Genomic DNA, 22,776 nt, shown 5'->3' with positions numbered 1-22,776 from the left:
TAGGACTTTACATGTTTTGTTTACTGGACTCCCTAATAAAATACTTTTGAAAATTATGTACCTCTTCACACACTTTTAAGTTGACATGTAGATTTTGTCATAAGATTAAAGAGTGATATGGTTTGGCTGTGTCCCCACCTAAATCTCATCTTGAATTGTAGCTCCTATAATTCCCATGTGTCCTGGGAGGGACCCAGTGGGAGGTAATTGAATCATGAGGGTCGGTATTTTCCATGTTGTTCTTATGATAGTAAATAAGTGTCACAAGATCTGATCTAAAGGGGAGTTCCCCTGCACACACTCTGTTGCTTGCCACCATGTAGGAGATGACTTTGTTCTTCATTTGCCTTCTGCCATGATTCTGGGACCTCCTCAGCCATGTGGAACTGTGAGTCAATTAAACCTCTTTCCTTTATAAATTACCAGTCTCAGGCATGTCTTTATTAGCAATGTGAGAACAAACTAATACAGTAAATTTGTACCAGTAGAGTAGCGTGCTGCTATAAAGATGCCTGAAATGTGGAAGTGACTTTGGAACTGCATAACAGGTAGAGGTTAGAACAGATTGGAGGGCTCAGAAGAAGATAGAAAAATGTGGGAATGTTTGGAACTTCCTAGAGACTTGGAAGGCTCAGAAGATAGGAAGATGTGGGAAAGTTTTGAACTTCCTAGAGACTTGTTGAATGGTTTTGAGCAAAATGCTGATAGTATGGACAACAAGGTCCAGGCTGAGGTGGTCTCAGATGGAACTGAGGAACTTTTTGGGAACTGGAATAAAGGTCATTCTTGCTATGCAAAGAGACTGATGGCATTTTGCCCCTGCCCTAAGATCTGTTGAACTTTGAACCAGAGAGAGATGATTTAGTGTATCTAAAAGACAGTTAGAAATTTCTAACCAGTGAAGCATTCAAGAGAAAGCAGACCACAAAAGTTTGGAAAATTTGCAGCCTAATGATGCAGTAGAGAAGAAAAAAACATTTTCTGAGGAGAAATTCAAGCTGGCTGCAGAAATTTGCATAAGTAGCAAGGAGCTGAATGTTAATCACCAAGACAATGGGGAAAATGTCTCCAGGGCATGTGAGAGACTTTGTAGCAGCCCCTCCCATCAGAGGCCCGGAGGCCTAGGAGGAAAAAATGGTTTCCCAGGCTGGACCCAGGACTCCCTTGCTGTGTGCAACCTAGGGAGTTGATGGCCTGCATCCTAACTGCTCCAGCCACGACTTAAAGGTGCCAAGGTACAGCTTGGGCCGTGGCTTCAGAAGGTGCAAGCCCTAAGCTTTGGCAGCTTCCAAGTGGTGTTGAGCCTGTGGGCACACAGAACTTCTGCCTAGATTTCAGAGGATGTATAGAAACTCCTGGATGTCCAGGCAGAAGTTTGTTGTAGGGGTGGGTCCTCATGAAGAACCTCTGCTAGGGCAATGGGAAGGGAAATGTGGGGTGCAAGTTCCCACACAGAGTCCCTACTGGGGCACTGCCTACTGGAGCTGTGAGAAGATGACCACCATTCTCCAGACCCCAGAATGCAGATCCACTGACAGTTTGCACCATGTGCCTGGAAAAGCTACTGACACTCAATGCCAGATGTGAAAGCAGCCGGCGGGGGAGCTGTTTCCTGCAAAGCCATGGGTGGAGCTGCCCAAGGCTGTGGGAGTAAACCTCTTGCATCAGTGTGACCTGGATGTGAGACATGGAGTCAAAGGAGATCATTTTGGAACTTTAAGGTTTAATGACAGCCATATTGGATTTTGGACTTGCATGGGGCCTGTAGTCCTTTTGTTTTGGAAAATTTCTTCCTTTTGAAATGGCTGTGTTTAACCAATGCCTGTACCCACATTGTATCTAGGAAGTAACTAACTTGCTCATAGGCTCATAGGCAGAAGGGACTTGCCTTGTCTCAGATGAGACTTTGGACTGTGGACTTTTGAGTTAATGGTGAAATGAATTAAGACTTTGGGGGACTGTTAGGAAGGCACGATTGGTTTTGAAATGTGAGGACATGAGATTTGGGAGGGGCCAGGGGTGAAATCAGATGGTTTGGTTGTGTCCCCTCCCAAATCTTATCTTGAATTGTAGCTCCCATAATTCCCACATGTCCTGAGAGGGACCTAGTGGGAGGTAATTGAATCATGGGGGCAGGTCTTTCCTGTGATGTTCTTATGATAGTGAATAAGTCTCACAAGATCTGATGGTTTTATAAAGGAGAGTTCCCTTGCACACACTCTCTTGCCTGCTGCCATGTAAGACATGACTTTGCTCCTCATTTGCCTTCCACCATGATTGTGAGGCCTCCCTAGCCATGTGGAACTGTGAGTCAATTCAACCTGTTTCCTTTATAAATTACCCAGTCTCGGGAATGTCTTTATTAGTAGCTTGAGAACAGACTACTACAAAGAGTAATAAAATATATATCTGATATGGGGAAAATTATATGTGCCTCTTAAATATATTTTGCCCAAAACAATGGAGCTGCACTTTCAATTTATGAACAACTTCCACTATAATTTAATTGACAAACATAACCTTCATTGTCAAACTAATCAATCAGAAAATATGACTTTGTGTTTCAACTCAAACAAATGTGCTAATACCCGTATCTGTGACAACCATCTTGTTGCCAAATTCTGTCTTGAGGGAAAAAAAAAGAAAGGAACAACAACAAAAAAAACCAAAACAAAGAATGAAGCAGGAAGTCTTGCTATAGGTTTGTCACTCAGAGGAAGTAAGACCCATGCACTTTAATATTCCTTAAAGAAACTCTACAGTTTCAAATTTTCCCTTTGTTCTTGGGGCTCAAATGGTGTTTATAGCTAGTGAAAAAATGCACCAGGGAAAAATATTGTATGTTTCAATGAATAGATGGATGAATGGATAGATGGATGAACAGATGGATGGGTGGGTGAAAGGTATGCCCTCCATTTTTTAAATTAAAGAAGGATAATTGTGGAAAATAAATTGGGAAAGGAGAAAAAGCAGACATGTGGTACCATCAGATCAGTTTTAGAAAAGAATACGTAACAGCTGATTATCTGTAAACTAATTCCCTTAGAAGTCTCTGTGGAGCCCAGTACGCCTTGAAACATTTTCAGAGGTGTGCATATCCTCATTCAAAGGGACTTTTCTTTCTTTTTTTTTCTTTTCTTTTTTTTTTTTTAGATGAAGTCTTGCTCTGTCACCCAGGCTGCTGGAGTGCAGTGGCATGATCTTCGCTCACTGCAACCTCTGCCTCCTGGGTTCAAGCAATTCTCCTGCCTCAGCCTCTTGAGTAGCTGGGATTACAGCTGGGCTAATTTTCTTATTTTTAGTAGAGACGGGGTTTCACCATGTTGGTTGGTCAGGCTGGTCTTGAACTCCTGACCTTGTGATCTGCCTACTTCGGCTTCCCAAAGTGCTGGGATTACAGGTGTGAGCCACTGAGTCCAGTCTCTTGTTTTTTCTCTTTATTTTTTTCTCTTGGAGAATTGACTCAGTCTCAGAAATCTAATGATCACCTCTAGGTAAAGCTGAGAAATCTACTGATTCTTTCTTGCATTTAAAAGCACCAACAATGCCTGGCTGCAGTGGTTCATGCCTGTAATCCCAGTACTTTGGGAAACTGAGGCAGGTGGATTGCCTGAGGTGAGGAGTTCACGATCAGCCTGGCCAACATGGAAACCCCATTTCTACTAAAAATAGAAAAATTAGCTGGGCATAGTGGCTCGTGCCTGTAATTCCAACTACCTAGGAGGCTGAGGCAGGAGAATAGCTTGAACCTGGGAAGCAGAGATTGCAGTGAGCTGAGATCATGCCACTGCACTCTAGCCTGGATGACAAGGTGGGACTCCATCTCAAAATAAATAAATAAATAAATAAAAGCACCAACAAGATATTTCTATTTGAAGATCTCACACTTAACTGCAGACTTTCACCCCATAGTCAGCATGATAATAAAATCTATAATTTTTGTGGAAAGGTGTTTTTCAAGTCCCAGTAGTCTGAGATAAAATTTAACTATAGCACCAACAACCTAATTATCTCTTCCTTGAAGTTGCACTGGATAACGCATAGTCTGACTGTGTCCCCCAGAAGTCCTCTGTTACAGCTTTATTGTGAATGTGATAGTATTTATAGGTGGGGCCTTTAGGAGGTGGTTATGTCATGTGGGTAGTACCCTCAAGGGATTAGGGCCCTTATAAAAGCACTTGAGGGAGCAAGTTTGTTTTCTTTTGCCTCTCCATCATGTAAGGACACAGCTTCCCTCCCCTCTGGAAGATGTACCAACACAGTGCCATCTTGGAAGCATAGAGTGGTTCTCACCAGACACTGAACCTGCTAGCGCCTTGATATTGGTCTTCCCAGCCTCCAGAACTGTGAGAAGTAAATTTCTGTTTTTTTTTTTTTTTTTTTGAGACGGAGTCTCACTCTGTCGCCCAGGTTGGAGTCCAGTGGCACAATCTTGGCTCACTGCAAGCTCCGCCTCCCAGGTTCACGCCATTCTCCTGTCTCGGCCAGCCTCCCCAGTAGCTGGGGCTACAGGTGCCTGCCACCATGCCCGGCTAATGTTTTGTATTTTTAGTAGAGACAGGGTTTCACCACATTAGCCAGGATGGTCTCGAGCTCCTGACCTCGTGATCCGCCCGTCTTGGCCTCCCAAAGTGCTGGGATTACAGGCATGAGCCACCGCGACTGTCCCAGAAGTAAATTTCTATTGTTTATAAGTTACCCAATCTGTATATCTTATTACAGTAGTCCAAGTGAACTAACACAAGGGCAAAATCCCAGTCTTTTAACAGGCCCTTCTGTCTCTGAATAACTTCTGAGTGATTCAAGAATGAGCCTCAGGAAGATGCAGAGAGACTAATAGATATGTTATCTTGTGTGTGAGAAAGGAGGAGAAATAAGGAGAAATAAAAGTATATTTATGTAAGTATAATATACATGCATACTGGTAAGTAAATAGGCAGAGGTAGAGTGGTGGATCTGCTTATGTTTGCAGAAAACAACAACAACAACAACAACAACAAACACAAACAAACACTGGAAGGTAGACCAGAAACTAATGAAAGTACTTACTGTTTAGGAGTGGGGGTGGGGACATAAATAGGATTAAGTGACCAGAAATGAAAGCCAGGCTTATTGGAGTATACTTTTATGCAATTTTGACTTGAGTATGTAAATATTTTACATGTTCCAAAAAATCCATAAAATTGAAAATATTAAAAGAAGACACTATATATCAAAATCTAACATAATCATATAGAGGAAATAATTAGATGAATCTAGAAAATAGTATTCTTTCTGAAAACTCTTGTAAAGCTATATAGTCTAAGGACAGAAAGGGCTTTAAATTCAATAGTTTTATTGTTAATAATGATATTGGTATTGTTATTTTGAAATCGGTTTGTGTATGGTATATAGATAAAGCAAATAAATGATGGTCACTATTATTATTCATTTTAAGAGATAGTAAAAAAATTCAAAAGAATTAAATAAAATTCTATAAGCCAAATTTGAACCAATAAATACCAATTTAAACCCTGATTTTAAAAAATGTACCTCCTACAGAGCTATAGAAACTAAAACAGCATGGTACTGGCATAAGAACAGACACAATGACCAATGGAACAGAATAGAACACCCAGAAACAAATCCACACACCTACAGTGAACTCATTTTAGGCAAAGGTGCCAAGAACATATATTAGGAAAAAGACAGTGTCTTCAACAAATGGTACTGGGAAAACTGGGTATCCATATGTACAAGAATGAGACTTGATCCCTATTTCTCACTTTACACAAAAATCAAATCAAAATGGGCTAGAGACTTAATCTAAGACCTTAAACTATGAAACTACTGTAAGAAAACATTGCAGCTGGGAGTGGTGGCTCACGCCTGTAATTTCAGCATTTTGGGAGACCGAGGCAGACAGATCACAAGGTCAGGAGTTCGAGACCAACCTGACCAACATGGTGAAACCCTGTCTCTACTAAAAATACAAAAATTGGCTGGGCGTGGTGGCAGGCACCTGTAATCCTAGCTACTCAGGAGGCTGTGGCAGGAGAATCACTTGAACCCAGGAGGTGGAGGTTACAATGAGCCGAGATCGGGGTCCTTGCACTCCAGCCTGGGTGACAGAGTGAGACTTCGTCTCAAAAAAAAAAAAAAAAAAAAAAAAGAGAGAAAAAAGAAAACATTGGAGAAAATCTGCAGGACATTTGTCTGGGCAAAAATTTCTTGAGTGACACTCCGCAAGTACAGGCAACCAAACAAAAAATGGACAAATAGGATCACATCAGGTTGAAAAGCCTCTGCACAGCAAAGGAAACAATCAACAAAGTGAAGAGCAACCCACAGAATGGGAGAAAATGTTTGCAAACTACCCATCTGACAAGGGATTAATAACCAGAATATAGAAGGAGCTCAAATAACTCCACAGGAAACTCTAGTAATCCAATTAAAAAATGGGCTAAATATTTCAATAGACATTTCTCAGAAGAAGATGTACAAATGGCAAACAGGCATATGAAAAGGTACTTAACATCATTGGTCAACAGAGAAATGCAAATCAAAACTACCAAGAGAAATGCAAATCAAAACTATCTCACCCATTTATATGGCAAATATCTAAAAGACAGACAGTAACAAATGTTGCCAAGGATGCGGAGAAAAAGGAAGTCTTATACACTGTGGGCAAGAATGTAAATTAGCACAACCACTATGGAGAATGGTTTGGAGGTTCCTCAAAAAACTAAAAATACAGCTATCATATGATTTGGCAATCTCACTTTAGGTATATACCTCCCCAAAACGAAATCAATATATCAAAGAGATATCTGCATTCTCTTGTTAAAGCACTGCTCACAGCAGCCAAGATTTGGAAGCAACCTAGGTGTCCATCAATAGCTGAATGGATAAATAAAATGTGATACTTATAAACAATGGAGTACTATTCCGCCATAAAAAAGAATGAGATTCTGTCATTTGCAACAACATAGATGGAACTGGAGGTCATTATGTTAAGTGAAATAAACCAAGCACAGAAAGACAAACGTCACATGTTCTCACTTATTTGTGGGATCTAAAAATCAAACTCATTGAACTCATGGAGATAAAGAATAGAATGATGGTTGCCAGAGGCTACGAAGGGTAGTGGGGGGATACAGGGGGTCGGGGGGGAAGGTGGGGATGGTAAATGGGAACAAAAAAAATAGGAAGAATGAATAAGACCTAGCATTTTAGTATTTGATAGCATAAAAAGGGACTATAGCCAATAATAATTTAATTGTACATTTAAAAATAACTAAAAGTGCATAATTGGATTGCTTGTAATGCAAAGGATAAATGCTTGAGGGGATGGATACCCCATTTTCCATGATATGATTATTACACATTGCATGCCCTGTACCAAAATATATTATGTACCCTATTAATATGGGTACCTAGTATGTACCCACAAAAATTAAAAATAAAAAAATAAAAAATGTACTTCCTATTTCTGTTGTCTGAATGGGCCTAGACTAAAAAATAGCGAATAGAGTTTATTAAAACACTTGAAAAGTATAAAAGTCCATGAAGCCACAAATGATATTAAAAAAGCAGTAAATGTGAAAACAAAAAGTTTTTGCCCACATTGGATATTACTATCATACCAATCTTTATTTGAAAAATTGGTAATTAAAAAGAGTGAATTAAACATTTATTCTGTTTGTAGTGCAGGGTAATAAAACAGCCTCAGTTGCTGAGGAAATACTTTTATTGAAGAATACTAAGTAATAAATGGACAGTATCAGAAAGTCACCATTTTGCAACCACAAATGAAATAACTGATTCCATTAAGAATTATCAACATGGGATCAAGTCATCTGATGAATGGCCAATGGAAACATTTTCCCACATTAGCTCACATATTATCTGCCAATAACAAGGGAGGCACTGCACATCTACAGTGGTGAGACTGGGCTGCCACCTTCCTAATACTGTAATCAAATTGACTCTCAGGAATAGTAAGACACTATATATCTCCTGATGGGATATTGTGGGAATTATGGAGCGTTCTCTATGACATATACTTACTAAAACGTGCTTAACCCAAATCTAAATCAGTCTGCATTTCTAACTAAAAGTTTAAAAGACATACAGAATACAAAACAATACATTAAATTAAACCAACAGAAAGCAATAAAACAAATCCAGAAAATGAACATTTTGCAAGGTATCTGGCCTGGTCTCTTTGAAAAGTCAAAAGCAGGGAGTAGTGACTCTTGCAGATTGAGTTAGGAGTCATAGCAGAATGCAGTCTAGGGTCCTTCATTGGCTCTTTGAACAAATCAGTTATAAAATGGACTTTAGGAACAAGTGGGAAAATGTGAATATGAACTAGGTATTAGATATTTAGGAATTATTGTTTATTTTATTAATACAAGGTGTGTAAAAGGTATTATCGTTACATGAAAATCTCCTTTTTTAAGAGATGCATGCTGAAGTATTTAGGAATAACATGTTATGATGTTTGTAACATAAGTTTAAATGAGGAGAGAGAATTGTTGACTTTGGAGGTGGATATATGAATATTCACTGCACCCTTCTTTCAACTTTCCTATGCATTTTAATAATTTTCAGAATTTTTTTTAAAGCCTCTCTGCTGCCTTCTTGTCATTGCAGCTCAGCTTTATTATTACTGTGAAGAGACCAGCAGCCCATTCTTTCAATCTCTGCCAAGTCCAAGTCACTGCCATCCTCAGAATGCCATCCCTTTTCCACATATCTGTTTGGTCTTTGTAGTCCTGAAGTCCCAAAGACTCAGTTGGGTATGGAAGGAAGAGGGGAACACTGTTTGGCCAGAGTGCATTTGGGTTTCCCACGTACAGCAGATCATGTCTATAAAACCAAAAAGTATCTGAAGCAGGTCTTAATCAATTTAGAAAGTTTATTTTGCCAAGATTAAGGACATGCAACTGGGAGGCAGGTCTGTACCTTTCTTCAAAGATGATTTTGAGGGCTTTAATATTTAAAGGAGAAAGGGTGGACATCAGGGAAAGGGGAATAAACTTTTAAGAGTTGTGGGTAGATAAGAGACAAACGGTTGCATTCTTTTGAGTCATTGATCAGCCTTTCACTGAATATACAATTTACATGTGAAAGGGAGGTAGAGGAAGAGTCACTTATGCCTTGTCTAGCTCAGTGAATCTACATTTTTTACATCAGCAATCAGATATGCATTTGTCTCAGGTGAGCAGAGAGGTAACTTTCTGTCCTGCACCTCTGAAGATAAACTATCAATTTACACTGTCAGGGTAAAATTCAACAAAACTGTTTTAAGGTAAAGATCTTGGGGCTCACAAGGAATTTCCTAGTGGGCCAATTGTGAGGGAGGTATGTAGCTTCTTTTTTTTTTTTCTTTAATCTCTGTAGCTATCTTATTTAGGAGTAAAATGGGAGGCAGGCTTGCCTGAAGCAGTTCCCAGCTTGACATTTCCATTTGGCGTAGTAATTTTGGGGCCCCAAGATTTATTTTCCTCTCATACGTCCTATTCACACAACCACTCACAGGCACATACTCATGGCCACATGTTCTTTAAGGCTCACTCGAAGCCTGTACCATTGTGGCCTCCCAGGCAGAGACTGAGAGTAGCACACCAGCCCCTCCCCTTCCCTCACAGCAGCTAGGAGGCAGCTTCCTTCACTTTCGAGGTCCAGAGCTGAGTCATCTTCTTCATTGCCTGGTGGTGACAGCCTCCTAGGTGCTTGTCCTCTCACTGTCTCTCTCTTGTCAATTCCCCAAGTCAAAAGCAAATTTTTAGAAAGGCAAACAAAAACAGTGCTTATTTGTTGTTCTTTCTCCCTGTCAGTTCCGTTCAGTTTTGTTGAATTCCTTTCAGTAAACCAGATGCTGGGAACAGTATCTCTCCACTCTACCTTGGGTTAAACTCCTTCTTGTCCATCTCTCCTGCCTTTGGTAGTTTTTCTTCTTGCCCCTTCCTTTCTCCTGAATATTAAATAATAACTAGCATTATAGATTTCCCACCATGTGACAGGCACTGTTCTAAGCACATTCTATGCATTGGCTTGTTTAATCATTATAACAATTGTCTTAGCCCCTCTGGGCTGCTATAACAAAATATCACAAAACTAGGTGGCTTATAAACAATAAATTTATTTCTCACAGTTCTAGGAGCTGGGAAATCCAAGATCATGTTGCTAGCAGATTTGGTATCTGGTGAGGGCCAACTTCCTCACAGATGGCACCTTCTTGCTGTGGTCTCACATGGTGGAAGGGGCAAGGAGTATCTCTTCAGTCTCTATTATGAAGGTATTAATGCCATTTATGAAGGCTCTAACCCCATGAGCTAATCACCTCCAAAGACCCACCTCTTAATACCATCACAATGTAGGTGAGAATTTCAACAAATGAATGTTGTGGGAACAAAAACATTCATACCATAGCAACAACCTTATAAAATGTTGTCATCCTCTTGTTACAGAAGAAGAAACTGAGACATAGAGAGTTTCAGAAATTTGTGCAAGATCAAATCTAAGAGGTATCTTGTTTTCTCAATAGTTTTATATTTATAAATGTGTCTATCTAACAAATAATTGAGTTTTTACTCTGTCATGTACTATTCAAGGCATGGGGAATATAGCATTAAACTAAGAAATGTACCTGTCCTCATGAAGCTTTCATACCTGTGGGGAAGAAAAGTAATAATCAATTAAGCAATATAAAGTATTTTCGCTGCACCCTATACTTATAGTATAAAGTGTGTATTGCAAACCTTGATGAGATGATAGAATGTAACAGAGAGTGGAACACAAAGTTCTCTTTGATGAGCCAAATCACATCCTTAAAAAATGTTTTTATATGTATTTTTAAATAGTAATGTATTCTTCTGGTTCAGACATTAAAACACATAAAAATGATCAGAAAAGTAAATAATCTTCTCACAAAAATATGTAAACAAGTAAACAGAAGAAAACCTATTATTATTAGTTTGCTATTAATCCTTCCCAAAAGTTTATGCTTTATGCATAATTAAGGCTATAAAAATATGTTATTTTCCCCTCATTTTTTATTCCAAGGAAACATATTTTACTATACCATACACTATCCTATACTTGCTTTCCACAGTATTTATTTTGGAGATTTGTGTGTGTGTGTGTGTGTGTGTGTTTTGAGGCGAAGTCTCACTCTTGTCCCCCAGGCTGGAGTGCAATGGTGTGATCTCGGCTCACTGCAACTTCCGCCTCCCGGGTTCAAGCGTTTCTCTTTTTTTTTTTTTGTATATATATTTATTGTACTTTACGTTCTAGGGTACATGTGCACAACATGCAGGTTTGTTACATATGTATACATGTGCCGTGTTGGTGTGCTGCACCCATTAACTGGTCATTTACATTAGGTATATCTCCTAATGTCAAGCGATTCTCTTGCCTCAGCCTCCTGATTAGCTGGGATTACAGGCACCTACCACCACACCTGGCTAATTTTTGTAATTTTAGTAGAGACGGGGTTTCACCATGTTGGCCAGGCTGGTCTAGAACTCCTGACCTCAGATGATCGGCCTGCCTCAGCCTCCCAAGTTGTTGAGCCACCGCGCCCGGCCTATTTTGGAGATTTTTTTCATATCAATACTTAAAAAGCTTCTTCATTTTGTTTTTACAACTGCCTACATTTTCACGGCATGAACACATCATCATTTAACCAGTTTTCTATTGATGGCCACTTAGGTTGTTTCTAATCTTTAATTATTACAAGCAACACTGCAGTGAATAACCTTATACATGAGGGGTCAGCAAACTGTTTCTGTAAAGGGCTAGGTAGCAAATATTTTAGGCATTGCAGGCCATTTGGTCTCTGTCACAGCTGAACTCTGCCATTGTAGCATGAAAGCAGCCATAGACAATATATCTACATAAGCAAATGGGCATGGTTGTTTTTTGAAAATTATTATTTTTTCTTTTAATAGGTTTTTGGTGAACAAGTGGTATTTGGTTACATTAAGTCCTTTAGTGGTGATTTCTGAGATTTCGCTGTACCCATCACTCAAGCAGTGTACACTGTACCCAATGTGTAGTCTTTTTAAAAAAAATTTTTTTATTATACTTTAAGTTCTGGGATACATGTGCAGAATGTGCAGGTTTGTTACATAGGTATACACGTGCCTTGGTGGTTTGCTGAATCCATCAACCCGTCATCTACATTAGGTATTTCTCCTAATGCTATCCCTCCTCTAGGCCCCCACCTCCTGATAGGCCCCAGTGTGTGATGTTCCCCTCCTTGTGTCCATATGTTCTCATTGTTTAATGCCCACTTATGAATGAGAACATGCAGTGTTTGGTTTTCTGTTCCTGTGTTAGTTTGCTGAGAATGATGGTTTCCAGCTTCATCCATGTCCCTGCAAAGAACATCAACTTATCCTTTTTTATGGCTGCACAGTATTCCATGGTGTATATGTGCCACATTTTCTTTATCCAATCTATCATTCATGGGCATTTGGGTCAGCTCCAAGTCTTTGCTACTGTGAACAGTGCTGCAATAAACATACATGTGCATGTGTCATTATAGTAGAATGATTTATAATCCTTTGGGTATACACTCAGTAATGGAATTGCTGGGTCAAATGGTATTTCTGGTTCTAGATCCTTGAGGAATGGCCACACTGTCTTCCACAATTGAACTAATTTACACTCCCACCAACAATGTAAAAGCGTTCCTATTTCTCCACATCCTCTCCAGCATTCGTTGTTTCCTGACTTCTCAATGATCGCCATTTTAACTGGCGTGAGATGTATCTCACTGTGGTTTTGATTTGCATTTCTCTAATGACCAGTGATGATGAGCTTTTCTTCATGTTTGTTGATAGCATAAATGTTTTCTTTTGAGAAGTGTCTGTTCATATCATTTGCCCACTTTCTGATGGGGTTGTTTTTTTTCTTGTAAATTTGTTTAAGTTCTTTGTAGATGATGGATATTAGCCCTTTGTAAGATGGATAGATTGCAAAAATTTTCTCCCATTCTGTAGGCTGCCTGTTCACTCTGACGATAGTTTCTTTTGCTGTGCAGAAGCTCTTTAGTTTAATTAGATCCCGGCAAATGGGCACGGTTCTTTTAAATAAAAACTTATTGACAAATGTAAGAATTGGGCTTAATTTGGCCAGGGTTTTTATCATTTGTTGATGTGTCATGCATCATTTTATATATGAGATTATATCCATAGGATAAATTCCTAAGTAAGAGAATACATTCATTTCTAAATTTGATAGATTTGGCCAAATTACTTTTCACTGAAATTATATCAATTTCCATTCCCAACAGCAATATATGGAGTGCTGCTTCCTCAACACTTCAGCAGTTGAGCATGTTCACGGCAACTTTTGAGGGTTTTGCCAATTTTGTAGGAAAGGGTGCCTCAGTATATCTTTCATTTCAATTTCTCTTCTGAAGAGTGAAATTGAGCAAATGTAAGAACCATTTGTTTTCTGTTGGATAATTGGTATTTTATCCAATTGTAGGAGTTTTTATATAACAGGAAGATAAGCTCTTTCTCTGTGATGAGTTGAAAATAATTTTTCCAGTGTTATTTATCCTTTGACTTTATTTGTGGTGTTTTGTTATTTTAAATCAATGAAAGGGTTTTGTTTCTATATAGTTACATTAATGAATCTTGCTTTTTTTTTTTTTTTAGGGATTCTAGATTTTGTAAATAGTTGAAAGTTCTACCACATTCAGGCTATGAAAGAATTCTTTCATATTGTCTTAAAATTTCACGTATTTCAAACTTTCATTTGCTTGAAAATAAGCCAGATATGAAGCATGGATCCATTTTTTCCTTCCTACTGGTTACCAAATTGACTCCATGATATTTAGTAATTAGTCTACTTAATAGAAAGCGCATTTATTTCCTTTTTTGTTCTATAGACTACAATTTTGGTTCTGTCCACATGATGGCACCACAACCCCAAAAAAATCATGTTCTCAGTCGGAAAGAAGACAACATAAGATTTACACAGCGTTAATATTTTATTAAATGCCTCCATGTTGTGGCAGACAGACCTGAATTTCACATGGAATGTTCAACAGTTTATCAAATACTGAAGTCCATTTGGTAAAGATACATACCATAGTGTATGCTAATCAAAGAAGAAATTGACATTTAAAAAAAAATCATGACAATCTATTCTTCAGTTTTTTATCTTAGGCCACAAATGAATACACATACACATACACACATATGTATACATATACAGTTTATTATCAACCATAAAGACATGGTGTGTAAACTAGCTTTGATAAATTCTAGTAATATTTTCTAAACCTGCAAGCCTTCTACATCTTAGAGAGTAGGTTTGCACAAATCTGGGAAGCAAAGGTCACCCCTGGGCTTATGAATAAAGAGGATAATTACGTAATTCTGAATTTCCACCCCTAAGCCCCACCCCTTATTCCATCCCTGACAATCTTGGGGTTAAAGTCTATTGTCACTTATGAGAAACATGCCTGGACTTGCCCTGCACTCTTTAAAGAATCAAAAACGGAAGTGACAGCAAAGACTTTCCCTTTCTCCTCGCTAATGGCAAAGCCTTTCCCTTTCTCCTCTCTAATGGCAATAAGCCTCTTTTCCACATTATGCTGGAAGTATTTGAGACACAGTATTTTTGTAAATGTTCGATTAATGTTGATACCACACATACCTAAATTTGACAGTGGACTGCAGCAACTTTTTGTATGTACCTTCCAGGGATTCAATAATCTGGTATTCTAAATTTCTCTGGAATTTAGCTTCAAAAAACTATTTACCATATCCTGTTAACATAGGTAAAAAGATTCAAGTGTGCTGCTAATTAACCTAACCTCGATGATCTAGTAAAAATATACAATAATTACCTAAGTTCTCCAAGCCTCATCTATAAAATGGGAATAATAATGTAGGAGATGAGAATATGCCACCCCAAATATGGCCCTGGGATAAAGATTATTTTAAGATAATTATTTTGAGAACCAGCAGACCCAGGAAATGCTCTAAAAATGGCATATTACCCTTTCGTAAGGGAAACGTACATTCACTAAAAAAAAAAACAACAAAAACAAAAAACAAAAAAACCCCACAAAACTCCATTTGTAAAAGTGTCTCCTCTGTACCAGGAAGAATGACTCTAAATCATGAAAAACTTATCAATGAAGAAATAAGAAACCCCACTCCTGTTTACCGTACATTTCCTGGTCATGATTCCTTAACTTGCCTGCCCCACTCTTTTCTTTTGGTTTAGCTAAAGATAGTATTTAAGCCCGATTTTAAACCATCTCTAATTTTCCTGGTTATCTCCCATGTATATATGAGACGTATATGTTAATAAGCTTCTTTGTTTTCTTGTTAATCTGTCTGGTTACAGCGACCCAGGCCAAAACTTTGAAAGGTGGAAAATTATTTTTCCTTCCTTACAATATTTCTCTCAGAATTGTTGTAGGATGAAATAAGGCATTTAAAAATACTGCACAGTCCTCAATAAATGTTACTCTATCGTAATTAGAACAAGAAAAACAAACAAAAAAACGTGTTCCTAGATTAGTCAAACTGCACAGCAAAATCTGGAAATGGGAAACTAAGCTGTGTTTGCACTCACTGGCCTACGCTCCTCTCTTCATCCTACCAATCTCCCTACCCCAGAAAGTCTCAGATTGACTCTCCAGGAACCAGGGCAGCTCATGAGCCATCTCAACAGATGCATTCGGAAGAAGTCATAGATGACTCTGATTGGAAACTCACAATCGGCATCGATGTTTAGTACTAGTAACTGTCAAAGGCCCACGGTTGTCAACCGCTGCCCACTTCGACACCTAACGGCATTCCGGAACATTCCACAAGATGGCGCCCTTGCTTTCCAATCTTCGGGCTACGGGCGGAGGACGCCTTGCCAGGACGCCGACCTCGCTCTGCAAGGTTCAGGGGCCGACCTCAGACAGAGGCTCGCTCTAGGGGCATGGGCGGGGGCCAGACGGGCCTCGAGTGGGATCCTGGCACGGTTGGCCGATCGGCCCGGGATCCCGGCTGCGGGCCCGTGTCTGCCCTAGCGCGATGGGCTCGAATGCCCGGCTCCACGAATCCCGGCCTTTCACCCCCACGGCCTCTCGGCACTGCCCCAGCTAGACACCAGCGAGCTCGTCACAGCGCGGGCAGGCACTGCGGGGCAGCTGCAGACGAGCCCTGTCATACGGCCGGAGGAGGCCTCGCCTGCCCGTGCGGCGGGCTCCGGGCACCCTGATACCTTGACACAGGAGGCCCCGGGCGGCCGGGAAGGGCTGTGCGGGGGAGGGACTGCGTCTACACCCGCGCCCGACTCGCTCGGGTCACGGCACTGCCCTGCCACCAGGCGGCTGGGGCGGGGGTGAGGCCAGGCGTCGGCCCTCGCGATTCTGTTTTGTACGCTGAGGCTCGGAGCCTTCGAAGAACGGGACAGCGGGGCCCACGGACGGCTCTGAAGGCCTTCCCGCGGCCGCAAGAGATCTCGGCGGCCGGCGTTTGAGGCGCGCGGCTCCGCTGGGAAGCGAGACCCGGGTGGCGGGACAAGACTTGCTTCCCGGCCACGCGCGCTCGGCCGGCCGTGGGGCGGGGCATAGGCCGTGACGTGATGTCGCGTATCGAGTCTCCGCCCCCTTCCCGCCTCCCCGTATATAAGACTTCGCCGAGCGCTCTCACTCGCACAAGTGGACCGGGGTGTTGGGTGCTAGTCGGCACCAGAGGCAAGGGTGCGAGGACCACGGCCGGCTCGGACGTGTGACCGCGCCTAGGGGGTGGCAGCGGGCAGTGCGGGGCGGCAAGGCGACCATGGAGCTTTTGCGGACTATCACCTACCAGCCAGCCGCCAGCACCAAAATGTGCGAGCAGGCGCTGGGCAAGGGTTGCGGAGCGGACTCGAAGAAGAAGCGGCCGCCGCAGCCCCCCGAGGAATCGCAGCCACCTCAGTCCCAGGCGCAAGTGCCCCCGGCGGCCCCTCACCACCATCACCACCATTCGCACTCGGGGCCGGAGATCTCGCGGATTATCGTCGACCCCACGACTGGGAAGCGCTACTGCCGGGGCAAAGTGCTGGGAAAGGTGACAAGCGGAGGGCGCCGGGCTGCCGGGCGGGCGGGAGGTCTGTCCGGGCGACCCCAAGCCGGGCAAGCCCGCGGGGTCCCTCGCCCGCCGCTTCCGGGTTTTTCGGGGGTCCGATCCCAGCGCGAGGTGGGCTCCTCACCTGCCCTCTGGCTTTTGTGCGCCGGCAGCGCTGGGGATCGGCTTTGCATTCTTAGCCTCAGAACTGTGTGTCTCCCGCAGCCCAGAGAAATGCATCTTGAGTCTGGAAGCGAGGGCTTTCTACATCAGACCTCTCTCCCTCTATCTGCTCCCAGGGAATTTTCCTGACAAGTCTCATCAGAGATTATTTTTCATGTCTCCCCGTTCCAACTCCCTCCATAAAGCTCCCCTTTATAAAAGAAGAAGAGAAACTGTTTGAACTTGCTGTTTCCAGCAATGCATTTCTCTTCATGAGGGAGCTTTAACGAAGTCGAATGCCTCCCTCTGTCCACCCTCCTCCATTCCTCAATTTTTTTTTTTTTGCTTTTCTTTCTTCCCATTTATTTATTTATTTAAAATATCTGCCGTCCATTTTTGTGCCATCCTCAATTCCGTCTCGGCTTTGTTTCCTTTCAGGGTGGCTTTGCAAAATGTTACGAGATGACAGATTTGACAAATAACAAAGTCTACGCCGCAAAAATTATTCCTCACAGCAGAGTAGCTAAACCTCATCAAAGGGAAAAGGTGCGTATGACTCTTGAGTAAAGTATTTTCTTTGTGTGCAAGGATGGCCCTTCCCTGTTAGGAAAATGTCTTCTGCATGTGTAATCACTGGCTTTTCCGAGGTGACTGGAAGCTAATAAGCCTTACCTTGCTTTTTCATTTAGATTGACAAAGAAATAGAGCTTCACAGAATTCTTCATCATAAGCATGTAGTGCAGTTTTACCACTACTTCGAGGACAAAGAAAACATTTACATTCTCTTGGAATACTGCAGTAGAAGGGTAAGTGTCAACTCCTATTTGAGAACATTTGCTTACCCCGAATTAACATGGTATTCAAAGAGTATTTTATCTGGGATTTTAGCTGTGGCAGCACTTACACTGCAAAGTTAACTTTCATTGCTCATCCTGCAAAGGGAAACCAGTGATTTTGATAACTGTTTTGACAGATTCTCTTTTTTCCTTCTCCTCTTCTTAGTCAATGGCTCATATTTTGAAAGCAAGAAAGGTGTTGACAGAGCCAGAAGTTCGATACTACCTCAGGCAGATTGTGTCTGGACTGAAATACCTTCATGAACAAGAAATCTTGCACAGAGATCTCAAACTAGGTAAGTCATTGACGCCAAAAGCTGAGTTTTGTGTTAGAGTTCTTTTTTCTCTCTCTGTTTTTTTTTACATATTAATGTTCTTAATTGGGATCTCGTGTCTGCAATCTTGCTTTTGAATGGGCGACTTTCATATAACAATTGGCTGCCTGGCTCCAAAGTGGATGTGTGTGTACTTGGTTAGAACGCATTTTCAAAGGGATTCACATTTTGTTTTGTTTATCGTCTAGGGAACTTTTTTATTAATGAAGCCATGGAACTAAAAGTTGGGGACTTCGGTCTGGCAGCCAGGCTAGAACCCTTGGAACACAGAAGGAGGTAAGAGTCAGAAAGATGCATCCTAGTAGACTTTTGTGGAGACCAAATATGCCTTCATTATTTTGCATTTAATGTTTCAGAGGTCCGGTAATAAAATCTATAAATCATAGCAATGTTAATTTAAAGAAATACTTATTAAATGCCCACTATGGACTAGACAGAGCACCCTGTGCCTCTAAATTGATTATGAAAGCAGTCAATGAAGTCTTTTCTTGGCTTAAAATGTATAAAATGCCACGACGTCCCTGGCTTTAGTTGGTTAACAACACTTTGCATGTGGGCTAAAACAACGTGTGTGCATTTTTAAAAATTACCAAAACTCATTTGGTCAGATCTCAATTGAATTTTCAGATGCCAAAAGTCAAATGTTTCCAAATAGAAATTCAGTATAGATTTTAAGATTTTGTTTAAGATTTTGTCTCCCATCAAGTCATGTCAAGAGAACCAAGTTTAAGTAGTGGAATAGTTCCTAACACGATCTCAATATTTTGTCTTTCCAGAACGATATGTGGTACCCCAAATTATCTCTCTCCTGAAGTCCTCAACAAACAAGGACATGGCTGTGAATCAGACATTTGGGCCCTGGGCTGTGTAATGTAAGTAAATGCAGCAGAATAATTAAAAAGCAAATTCGGATTTAGATTTTAACACTTGAAAAGAGTTGCTTTATGACCATTGCTAAAGATGTGTTTCTTTGCACACAGGTATACAATGTTACTAGGGAGGCCCCCATTTGAAACTACAAATCTCAAAGAAACTTATAGGTGCATAAGGGAAGCAAGGTATACAATGCCGTCCTCATTGCTGGCTCCTGCCAAGCACTTAATTGCTAGTATGTTGTCCAAAAACCCAGAGGATCGTCCCAGTTTGGATGACATCATTCGACATGACTTTTTTTTGCAGGTTGGTGCACTATCTTTTTTTTTTAATTACCTGGTATTGATCCCAGTTACCTGACAGGTTACTGAAGGCTTTTTCTAATATTCCACAGGGCTTCACTCCGGACAGACTGTCTTCTAGCTGTTGTCATACAGTTCCAGATTTCCACTTATCAAGCCCAGCTAAGAATTTCTTTAAGAAAGCAGCTGCTGCTCTTTTTGGTGGCAAAAAAGACAAAGCAAGATATATTGACACACATAGTAAGTTAACAAGACTTCTTTTCCTTTTTCGTACCCAATATTATATTTAAATTTGGTAAATTAGTTAAAAGAGAATTTTATATTAGCATAACTTGGCCATATTTGCGTATTCTTAAATGTTGATATTTATAGCATAATAAATCCATACCTTGAATTGTGATTGATAGCTTTTTATTTTGCAAACACTAAAGAGGGCTTTTGGGGGTAGCTGCAGCTAAAGGCAAAGGTAAAATGCTATTTTTGCCCAGGATGCTCATAAGTTGGTCAATAATGCAAGAAGGAGAAAATATGACTAACCCTGTTCCTACCTTGTTAAGATAGACTAATGTTTGTAATTCTGTTTCTTGATATACAGATAGAGTGTCTAAAGAAGATGAAGACATCTACAAGCTTAGGCATGATTTGAAAAAGACTTCAATAACTCAGCAACCCAGCAAACACAGGACAGATGAGGTGTGTTGGGAAAGAGTAAAGTAGATACTCACGCTTTACGTTATTTCCACTCTTTATTAATTAGCACTTGGACTATGATTATCATGGTTCAAATATGTCATATTTACTTAAAGTTTTTCTTCAAACCCTTTGAAAGGGAAGTTAAAACTAAAAGGAAGTCTTTTAGTTTTACAGTGCATGCAAGTGAGTTTACTGCGTTATCTTTTATCTGGCTTGTGTCCATTGCTTTTTGATGAGCTTTCCCAGCAATTGCCTCACTCTCATCTTAATCTGGAATTCTCACCCTTAAATGAATTTAGATGCTTGACTCATTGCATAAATCTTCTCTCTTCTAAGGAGCTCCAGCCACCTACCACCACAGTTGCCAGGTCTGGAACACCCGCAGTAGAAAACAAGCAGCAGATTGGGGATGCTATTCGGATGATAGTCAGAGGGACTCTTGGCAGCTGTAGCAGCAGCAGTGAATGTAAGTGGTTGTCAATCGTATTTTAAATAATGAAACTCGAAATGCCAGTGCTAAATACATAATAATTTAAGTCAATTTACTTTGTAGCTTAATTTAACATAGAAGTAGTAAGATTACAGGAATTGGAAAATAATCTTGAGTTCTATGTCTTTCGAATTAATGGAGTGAAACTTAGCATCTACCAAAGCCTGAGGTTTTATTGCTAAAATATTGTATAACTTGAAACATTTCTGTCTGACTTTTCAGGCCTTGAAGACAGTACCATGGGAAGTGTTGCAGACACAGTGGCAAGGGTTCTTCGGGGATGTCTGGAAAACATGCCGGAAGCTGATTGCATTCCCAAAGAGCAGCTGAGCACATCATTTCAGTGGGTCACCAAATGGGTTGATTACTCTAACAAATATGGCTTTGGGTACCAGCTCTCAGACCACACCGTCGGTGTCCTTTTCAACAATGGTGCTCACATGAGCCTCCTTCCAGACAAAAAGTAAGTGTATCAATTAATGAAATCCTGTCAGTTCTCTAGTCTTGCACTAAAGAAATCTAAAAACAATGATTAACTGCTTCTATTTTTTTTTCCTCTTCTCTCCCTTTCGTTCCTGTTTTTATAGAACAGTTCACTATTACGCAGAGCTTGGCCAATGCTCAGTTTTCCCAGCAACAGATGCTCCTGAGCAATTTATTAGTCAAGTGACGGTGCTGAAATACTTTTCTCATTACATGGAGGAGAACCTCATGGATGTAAGTACTGTGGCTTTAGAGTGGTGACATTTGAAGTGTAGGCCACAAAGCAGTAGTGTCTGCATCACTTTGAAGCTTGTTAGAAACAGATTCTCCTGACCTACCGTTGGTGTACTGAATCAGAATCTCCGGGAGGTGGAGGCAGGGATTTCCAAAGCCATTCTGATGCTTGCTTAAGTTTGAGAGGATTTTCTTAGAATAATAATAGAGTGCATGCTACAAAATCTTTGTAGGCACTAACTCACTCTCCTAATCTCTTCCAGGGTGGAGATCTGCCTAGTGTTACTGATATTCGAAGACCTCGGCTCTACCTCCTTCAGTGGCTAAAATCTGATAAGGCCCTAATGATGCTCTTTAATGATGGCACCTTTCAGGTAAATGAACTCTTCAGGAAAGTGCACGTTTAGGTCCTAAACAGAAAGATTTGTACCTAGACAGTTTAGTGATTGACTGAACTTTTCTAATTCTCGAATATTTTGAGAGATCTAATGTCTATGTTTATTTTTTAAGGTGAATTTCTACCATGATCATACAAAAATCATCATCTGTAGCCAAAATGAAGAATACCTTCTCACCTACATCAATGAGGATAGGATATCTACAACTTTCAGGCTGACAACTCTGCTGATGTCTGGCTGTTCATCAGAATTAAAAAATCGAATGGAATATGCCCTGAACATGCTCTTACAAAGATGTAACTGAAAGACTTTTCGAATGGACCCTATGGGACTCCTCTTTTCCACTGTGAGATCTACAGGGAAGCCAAAAGAATGATCTAGAGTATGTTGAAGAAGATGGACATGTGGTGGTACGAAAACAATTCCCCTGTGGCCTGCTGGACTGGTTGGAACCAGAACAGGCTAAGGCATACAGTTCTTGACTTTGGACAATCCAAGAGTGAACCAGAATGCAGTTTTCCTTGAGATACCTGTTTTAAAAGGTTTTTCAGACAATTTTGCAGAAAGGTGCATTGATTCTTAAATTCTCTCTGTTGAGAGCATTTCAGCCAGAGGACTTTGGAACTGTGAATATACTTCCTGAAGGGGAGGGAGAAGGGAGGAAGCTCCCATGTTGTTTAAAGGCTGTAATTGGAGCAGCTTTTGGCTGCGTAACTGTGAACTATGGCCATATATAATTTTTTTTCATTAATTTTTGAAGATACTTGTGGCTGGAAAAGTGCATTCCTTGTTAATAAACTTTTTATTTATTACAGCCCAAAGAGCAGTATTTATTATCAAAATGTCTTTTTTTTTATGTTGACCATTTTAAACCGTTGGCAATAAAGAGTATGAAAACGCAGAAATA

At 40.6% G+C, this 22,776-nt stretch overlaps 1 protein-coding gene across 2 annotated transcripts, besides 5 other annotated features; it reads left to right on the top strand.

The window, feature by feature from the left end:
- Positions 7,860–8,029: an enhancer, noted in NCBI's record as "experimental_86533 CRE fragment used in MPRA reporter constructs". NCBI's record gives its function as "activates a minimal promoter by MPRAs in K562 erythroleukemia cells, with activity observed for the non-introgressed 5:57764639 variant allele {active_cell/tissue: K562}" and the evidence as "EXISTENCE:reporter gene assay evidence [ECO:0000049][PMID:34662402]".
- Positions 9,733–9,782: an enhancer, noted in NCBI's record as "active region_22583". NCBI's record gives its function as "activates an Ori minimal core promoter by ATAC-STARR-seq in GM12878 lymphoblastoid cells {active_cell/tissue: GM12878}" and the evidence as "EXISTENCE:reporter gene assay evidence [ECO:0000049][PMID:35858748]".
- Positions 16,173–16,352: a silencer, noted in NCBI's record as "silent region_16033". NCBI's record gives its function as "represses an Ori minimal core promoter by ATAC-STARR-seq in GM12878 lymphoblastoid cells {active_cell/tissue: GM12878}" and the evidence as "EXISTENCE:reporter gene assay evidence [ECO:0000049][PMID:35858748]".
- Positions 16,670–22,774, top strand: PLK2 (polo like kinase 2). Of its 2 annotated transcripts, NM_001252226.2 has the most exons (15): positions 16,670–16,958; positions 17,001–17,066; positions 17,664–17,771; positions 17,915–18,031; positions 18,228–18,357; positions 18,585–18,672; positions 19,173–19,268; positions 19,377–19,575; positions 19,664–19,811; positions 20,167–20,264; positions 20,601–20,730; positions 20,977–21,217; positions 21,342–21,471; positions 21,735–21,845; positions 21,982–22,774. In NM_001252226.2, exons 1-15 carry the CDS (start codon positions 16,797–16,799, stop codon positions 22,171–22,173), a joined length of 2,016 nt encoding a protein of 671 aa, NP_001239155.1. In that variant the 5' UTR covers positions 16,670–16,796; the 3' UTR covers positions 22,174–22,774. The 2 variants fall into 2 exon arrangements, with proteins under 2 accessions (NP_001239155.1, NP_006613.2); NM_006622.4 differs by having other exon boundaries at positions 16,670–17,066.
- Positions 18,380–18,674: a silencer, noted in NCBI's record as "tiled region #13863; K562 Repressive non-DNase unmatched - State 24:Quies". NCBI's record gives its function as "represses a minimal TATA promoter and a strong SV40 promoter by Sharpr-MPRA in K562 cells {active_cell/tissue: K562}" and the evidence as "EXISTENCE:reporter gene assay evidence [ECO:0000049][PMID:27701403]".
- Positions 19,326–20,525: an enhancer, noted in NCBI's record as "BRD4-independent group 4 enhancer chr5:57752058-57753257 (GRCh37/hg19 assembly coordinates)". NCBI's record gives its function as "activates an origin of replication core promoter dependent on BRD2, P300/CBP, MED14 and CDK7 cofactors, and independent of BRD4, by STARR-seq in HCT116 cells {active_cell/tissue: HCT116}" and the evidence as "EXISTENCE:reporter gene assay evidence [ECO:0000049][PMID:35650434]".
- Positions 22,775–22,776: the final 2 nt, after the last annotated feature.

Source organism: Homo sapiens, chromosome 5 (genome assembly GCF_000001405.40).
Source record: "Homo sapiens chromosome 5, GRCh38.p14 Primary Assembly".
Taxonomy (NCBI): Eukaryota; Metazoa; Chordata; class Mammalia; order Primates; family Hominidae; genus Homo; species Homo sapiens.
Note: the sequence above shows the minus strand (reverse complement) of the source record. Positions and strands in the feature narration are given on the sequence as shown.

Coding starts and splice junctions, on each gene's coding strand:
- PLK2 (NM_006622.4), top strand. CDS start 16,797: ATGGAGCTTTTGCGGACTATCACCTACCAGCCAGCCGCCAGCACCAAA. Junction 21,218..21,341: donor AGCCTCCTTCCAGACAAAAA/GTAAGTGTATCA, acceptor CTGTTTTTATAG/AACAGTTCACTATTACGCAG. Junction 21,846..21,981: donor TTAATGATGGCACCTTTCAG/GTAAATGAACTC, acceptor TTATTTTTTAAG/GTGAATTTCTACCATGATCA.